The 8,109-nt window shown below is 32.3% G+C and overlaps 1 pseudogene; it reads left to right on the forward strand.

Annotated features, from left to right (window-relative positions):
* RPL18P8 (ribosomal protein L18 pseudogene 8) lies at positions 513 to 1,046 on the forward strand (annotated as a pseudogene).

The following is an 8,109-nucleotide window of genomic DNA, read 5'->3' on the forward strand; positions in this document are numbered from 1 at the left end:
TTCGCATGCTGTATTTTCTATTTATTTATGACTTACATATTTACTGATTTTTTCAACTAAGATTTTATTCATTAACCAGAAATATGTACACATTTTCTCAATGTGTATGTATACACATCCATCCATACATCCAAATCAATTTATATATATATAAACAAATTTTCTTTGTGTCAATAAATACTGCATATCATTTAGATAAGATATGAGATTTATTATCCTTTCAATCAGGGAGAAGTACCTTTCAAGAATGATTAAAACAAAACTGGTAATTTTATTACTAGTAGTTGGTAATTGCAACCACTCAATATTTTTGCAAGCCTACAATCAAATTTTGATTAGGTTATCTATGTTTTTAGTGAAAAAAATAGCCCAATTATATTGCAAATAATTATTGAATATCATATTTTTCAGATTTTCAAAATCAAATCATTAAATACAGAGAAAAATATGTGAAACACCTTTTGGTATTTCTTTGAAAGCATCAGTTTTTCCTATTATAACAGAAACAAGATAGGAGATGCCATCATAGGAGTTGACATCCTCCACAACAAGGACCGAAAGGTTCCCCGCAAGGAGCCCAAGAGCCCGGATACCTACCTGAGGCTGTTGGTCAAGCTGTACAGGTTTCTGGCCAGACGAACCAACTCCACATTCAACCAGGTTGTGCTGAAGAGGTTGTTTAGGAGTCGCACCAAGGGCCCACCTCTGCCCCTTTTCCGGATAATCCGCAAGATGAAGCTTCCTGGCCGGGAAAACAAAACCGCCGTGGTTGTGGGGACTATAAGGGATGATGTGCGGGTTCAGGAGGTGCCCAAACTGAAGGTTTGTGCGCTGCGCATGACCAGCCGGGCCCGCCGCGGCCCTAGAGTCCCCCAAGGGCTGTGGCACCGTCCTGCTCTCTGGTCCTCTCAAAGGCCGAGAGGTGTACCGGCATTTCCGCAAGGCCCCGGAAACGCGGCACCAAAACCTACGTCCGCTCCAAGGGCCGGAAGTTCGAGCGTGCCAGAGGCCGACTGGACAACCAAGGCCACAAAAACTAACCCGGGGCTGGGAGCGGTGGCTCACGCCTGTAATCCCAGCACTTTGGGATGCCGAGGCGGGGCGGATCACGAACGAGGTCAGGAGATTGAGACAATCCTGGCTAACACTGTGAAACCCCGTCTCTACTAAAAACACAAAAAATTAGCCGGGCGTGGTGGTGGGTACCTGTAGTCCCAGCTACTGGGGAAGCTGAGGCAGGAGAATAGTGTGAATCCAGGAGGCGGAGGTTGCAGTGAGCCGAGATCGCGCCACTGCACTCCAGCCTGGCGGACAGAGCGAGACTCCATCTCCAAACAAAAAAAATAATAATAACCCTGGATCCTACCCTTTTATTAAAAAGATTTTGGATGCTGACAAAAAAAAAAAAAAGGATACAGGTTTGACCTAGTCACATATTCCACAACCAGCAGCATGCTAAATACTATAGGAGTTAACAAAAAAATCATTAAGACATAACCCCATCCTCTAAGAAATACAATGTTTGTAGAAATAGGGTAAGAAATACACTGTAATTGTGTATAATTTAGATGTTGATCAATATTTTAGTAACACTTTATAATACTTTTCGATCATTAAATTTTGAATTTCTTGTAAATTTTCAACAGAGTATCTGTTTTGCATTCCTTACTTGGTGGAGGTAGAATGAGAGCCAATGATTCTTCACCATCACACAGCCGGTTATCAAGATAGGTAAGCCAAAAGCTTAAGTCTCTTGATTCATAGGCAGAATGCTTTCATTTATACTGTTCTGAGATATAATTTAGCACCAAAAATCTATTGTAAATGCTATCGTTAATAATAATAAAAACTGACCAATGAATGAAATTCTGTTCTCTAGCACAGTTATATATATTTTAATAAAACATATATAAAATATATAAAATATATAATATATACATTGTAATAAAACAAAACCTTACTCTAAGAGAAAGATTATGGCCATCCTTATTAGAATTTTTAAATAATGAAAGTCTTTCTACAAGAGTAGGATATTCTAAAGAATGGAGACTACATCATATTCTTCATTTTATCCTCAGCACATGGCACTTAGTAAGAGGTAAATATTTATTAAAGACCACTGCACTTTTCTGTAAGCCTGGCTGATTCCTTATGAAATTCAAACACTCAAAGTGTTCATATGCTTTCATCAATAAATATAATTAGTCTGACACTCTAAAAGAAAATGTGCTAGCTTAGTTATTTAGGCAAAATATTTCTTCCATGAATTAACAGAGTTAATGCTAAATATGCTTTGCTATTGGTAATTTAGAAGGTTGATTTTATCAATAGGTGAAATAGGTATGCTAGAGTCTTGTGATTTCATCTGCCTAATATTGAAGTATGCTTGGAATTTCAACAACAAAGAATTACTCTGTGGATAAAAGATATCTACTTCTGCCCAAAGCAGCATAATAATCCATATCCACCATGCAAACCTCAAGGTTAGATATAAAATCAACTTGATTTTGATAATTAACCAAATCCATATAAGAAAGTATATACATTTTGGAGACCTTTATTCTGTTTGCTGCTCTTCTTGTACTAGCTGTTATCTTAAATTAGTAATTTCACATTTTTGAGAAAGAGTTTCCATATAAAACATAAAACAATATATAAATCATATATAAAGAATTTTATAAAGAGCAGATGAAAAATCATGATCTGTATAAAACATAGTTGATCAATGATGGTAAAGGGACGTAAAAAGCACAAACTGTGGCTATGTCAGATAAAGCATTTTTCCTTCATGAAAAAGGTTGAGGTCTATATTTGAGTGACTCATTGGTACACTTGGGGGATGGAAAAAAAATGGCCTTATGACATTACACAATTTTTTTAACATCTCTGAGCTACACCGTAAAAAAAAAAACTTGTGACATTTAATTTTCATAATGCATGTAAGTAAACAAACAGAACAAAAATTGATACAGAGCTAGTAAATTGGTCTTCATTTTTGTTTTTAAATTTTAGATCTACAAAGTGGTAGTAATTTATAATTCAAATAAAATTAGTACTCTGAGATTGAAAATAATTTACCTCATTTTTCTGTCTCTCTACTGAACATGAGACACTGTATATCATATCAGTTAATGTGTTTGCATAGTATTGATCCAGTGAATTTTGATACTGACAAGCAATTATAATACAAGATTTAAAAATAATTAGGTTCTCAGAAAATCAATCCTATTATAATTTTAGAGAACATTTTTGATCAAAGATTTCTGAATTTATTTAAGTAAAAAGTTATTTAAATAAAAAGTTAAGTAAAAAGTTATTTAAGTAAATTGTTATTTAAGTAAAACAATAAAATAATTTATATTATTAATATTTTATAGAAAACACAGAAACAGAATGTTGAAATGTACAATACATTCTTTTAAAAAATCACATTTAGTTATTCAAATACAATTTGAGTTTATATGTGTGCTCCTATTTACTCAACAGCAATTTAAAATATTAGATAAATTTACTTTTATTAATTATGTATCAATTTATCAAGGAAATATGTAAAGAACAAATAATTTGGGGTCAGATAAAAAGGTTTTTAATTCTGCCTTATTTATTTCATGCCGTGTGCACCTTGGATAAGTTACCTACCTTTAAAAAAAAATAATTCTAACTTGTAGAGTTAGGGATACCAAATCCTTAAAATCTAAATTTTAGTTATGAGATACAGGGAATTAAAGAAAATATTCTGCACAGCACCTATCACAGAAGGGGCAATGATCACAAATATTATGATGATTATAATATAATATTCTTTTATAAAATATTACAAACTATGCTGTCCAATGTAAAAAGTAATGAACAATAAGTACACTTTTAAATATTCCATATTTATATAGTCTTTAAACCTCAAAAATAACATTTTTGTTCCTTATTTTCTGGAAAAAAAAAACCTGCTGTATATTTCTATTCATCTGGAATACACCAGTTTGTATTTAACTGAATGGAACTTGCAAGCAAAATATATAGGAAAGATTTGAATTAGAAATAAAATAATTATGGTAATGTTCTATTTACCCTTATTGATAAGGGTACTAAATAATTAACTCTTTTATATATAAGATAAAGTGAAGAGTTAAAAATATAGTGAGGCATTGGTCTGCTAGGAATAGAAGAAGGGTCATGAAGGTACAACATTTAGGATTAAATTTGTTCTGGGTATTTGCCAATCCATAAGAAGTGGCTGAAAGGTTGGATTGTACTTTGGACAGCCTCATAATACTAAGAAAAAAAAAAGTAAATGCAGTAGACTTTGGTAACCACTCCCTTCCTGCAACACAAAGAATTCCAATCTAAGAGTAAAGCTGAATGTAATAAACTTGACATCCCTACATAGTGGAGTCTATCATAAAATAATATGAATAGTCTGGACAATTCCAAACCATGCAATTGAATTAAGGTAATTAATCATTGCTAAAGTCTACAGATAACAGGCAGAAGTAAATTACAAACAATTTCTGGAGTAAAAAATCCATTACAGATAACATAATCCTCATCCTCAAATTTACCTCTGCAAGTACTTTTTCAATGACAGTATACTACAAACACAATCTCATTGCAGATAACGTAATCCTCATCCTCAAATTTACCTCTGCGAGTACTTTTTCCGTGACAATATACTACAAACACAATCAAATGTAAAGAGGAAAAGAAGGTGGCAAAATGATATGAGCAGGAATTTCAAAAATAAGAATAAAGAGAACAGCTCAAAAGAAATTACAAATATTGGAACTATCAGACAGAGACTGAAGATAACATTATTTATTTCAGCTGGGCACTTTGGCTCATGCCTGTAATCCCAACACCTTAGGAGGCCAAGGCGGGTTGATCACCTGAGGTCAGGGGTGAGACCCGCCTGACCAACATGGTGAAACCCCATCCCTACTAAAAATACAAAAATTAGCTGGGCGTGGTGGAGGGTGGCTGTAATCCCAGCTACTTGGGAGGCTGAGGAAGGAGAATCACTTGAACCCAGGAGGTGGAGGTTGCTGTGAGCCGAGATCACACCATTGCACTCCAGCCTAGGCAACAATAGCCAAACTCAGTTTAAAAAAAAATTATTTATTTCTACATTCAAGGAGATAAAAACTAAGATGCAATAATTGGATAGAGTACCAAAAACAATAAAAAGAGACTTAGCATATTGAAAAATACATAGATTATTGCAATGGATAACATAACAATCTAAAACAAAGACTCAATGGACATACTCAAAAGCATATTATACAAAGCAAAGGAGAAACAATACATTTGACATTTGGCCAGAACAAACAAAATAGAATGCAACATTTAGAGATAAAAGTTCGGAAATTTTTATATAGGAGAAAAGAAACAAATAGCATATTGGTGAATCTCTAGCATATGATTAATTCAAGTCCCAGAAATGAGGAGTATATTGATGAGACAGAAGTAATACAAAAGGTAACATATGAAAATTTTCTAAAATGCATGAATATGACTAGCCCATTTTTTCAAGATTTTTTTTTTACTGCTAAGTAGAGTGGATACAAAAGACAATCTACACATCAACCATCAAAATAAAACTAAAGAAAACTGGTCAAGTAAAAACATGAAAGAGCTCTTATTTTCAAATTAGTAATAGTGACATTTACAGATGATTTCTCAACAGTGGTGGAAGCCAAAATATAGTGACAAGATATCATCATTTGTGAAAAAGAAAATAACTGCCAATTCAGAATTCTATGCCAAAGAAAATTATGATTGAAGATATGCTGTTGAAATAAAGACATTTTTAGGAAAACAAAAACAAATAATTTACTAGCAGTAGAAGTAAAATAAGAGGGATTCTTAGGAATATTCTTGAAAATAAAGGAAAATTATGCCAAATGGATTTTGGAAGTGTGTAAAGAATAAAACATAATGAAAACATATATAGTGGAGTGAACTTAAGTAAACACTGACTTTATAAAATACTACTAATAATGCAGAAAAAATATTATAAATTATTAGGTATATTTAGAATTATAGGCTCTAAATACTTCATTTTCCTTGAACAATTTCAAAATGTCAATATTAGGCTTTGATAATTTGCATATTTGTTTTCATTTTCAAAATAGCTACTAAGTTTAAGAAGTTATTATACTCAAAACTTTTAGAAAGAAATATCATCGACCTGAATAGCATTATCACTCAGCTTTACCTCATTGACATTTACAGAATACTCCATACAACATTATTAGAATATACATGATTTTCAAAGTTCACATGGAATGTTAACCAAAATAGATCACATTCCAGACCGTAAAACATATCATAATAAATGTAAGTTAATAAAAATATTATACAATATGTTCTCAGACCACAATGGAAATAAGCTAGAAATCAATACTAGAAAGATAACTAGAAAATTCTAAAGTACATGGAAATTAAACAACACACCTTTAAATGACACAATTATCAAATAAAATGTGTCAAAAATAAATTTCACAAATATTTTGAAGTACATGAAAATGAAATACAACATATCAAGTTATGTTGATATAACAAAATCTTTAGTAATAATTTTATAGTATTAAATCAATATTAGTAAAATGAATAAATACCTGAAAACAGTGATCTAAGCCTCCATCTCAGGAAACTAGAGAAAGAGCAACTTTAGCCTAAAGCTTGCAGAAGTAAAGAAGTGGTAAAAACAAAAGTGAAATCAATAAAATTGGAAAAGTGTAACAATAATCAGCAAAATTAATAGGTAGTTCTTAGTAAAGATCATTAACGGTGACAAACTTCTAGCCAAGTTAACCAAGGACAAAAGAGAGAAGACACAAATTACTAATAACATAAATAAAAGAGGGGTCAGCATTACTGATCCTATGGACATTAAAAAAATAAAGGAATATTATGAACAACTCTTTTTTCACAAATTTGATAACTTAGACAAAAATGACCACCTCCTTGAAAGACACAAATTTCCAAAACTTACAGAAAGATAAAGAGATTGCCTAAATAGGCCTGTATCTATTAAAGAAATTGAGTCAAAAAGTAATAACCTTCCAAAAAAGAAAGCAACAAGCCTAGAAAATTTATTAGTGAATTCTACCAAACATTTAAGAAAGAAAAGACACAAATTCTCTACAATCTCTTCCAGAAAACAGAGATGGAGGAAACATTTCCTACATATCCTCAAGGATAGAATTATTCTAATACCACAACAGATAAAGACATTACAAGAAAGAAAAACAACAGACCATATCTCTCATGAATGTAGATGCAAAATCCTCAATAAATGTTAGCATATCAAATCAAACAAAATATAAAAATAAAGTACAACCTAGTAGCATTTATCCAATTATACACAGATAGGTCAATATTTGAAAATATGCTAAGATAATTACCTCTCTAGAAGAGGTAATATGAATACACTCTTCTTAAACGTGAACTGTGCACAGTGACTTTTTTCCAAAGAATAAAGTGTAGAAAGGGAGAGGGGAAGTGTCACTTCAGAGTATAGAAAGATAACAAACAGTATCTCAGCAAGGTGATGAGGGTCATTATCAAGAGTCATACATCATGTAGGTGAAAATGGCACTTTACTTCTGGGATCTTCTTTCCTCCAATTCATAACCTCTGTCTAATCGTGAGAAAAACATCAGGTGAATTTTTTAGAGAGGGGCGTCCTACAAAATGCATACCGAGGTCATTAGAAACAAGGAAAGTCTCAGAAACTGTCACAGGCAAGAGGAATCTAAAGGGAGATGACAAGTAAATATAAGGTAGTATTCTGGATGAGGTCCTGGAACAACAACAACAACAATAACGAATTACATAAAGAATCTGAACTATGGACTTTAGCTAATAACAATGTATCAAATATAGGCCCATAACTTAACAAATAATTGTATGATACTAATGTGAGTTGTTGATAATAGGATTTGAAAATATTTTTCTCATTCCATAGGTAGATTTTTTATTCTGTTAATTGCTTCCTTTGCTGTCCTGATTTTTAGCTTAATTTAGTTCCACTTGTTTATTTTTGGCTTTGTTACCTGTGTACTTTTGGTATCATATTCATAAAATCATTGCCAACGTCAGCATCATTAAGTT

This window comes from Homo sapiens, chromosome 11 (assembly GCF_000001405.40).
Source record: "Homo sapiens chromosome 11, GRCh38.p14 Primary Assembly".
In the NCBI taxonomy this organism is placed as follows: domain Eukaryota; kingdom Metazoa; phylum Chordata; class Mammalia; order Primates; family Hominidae; genus Homo; species Homo sapiens.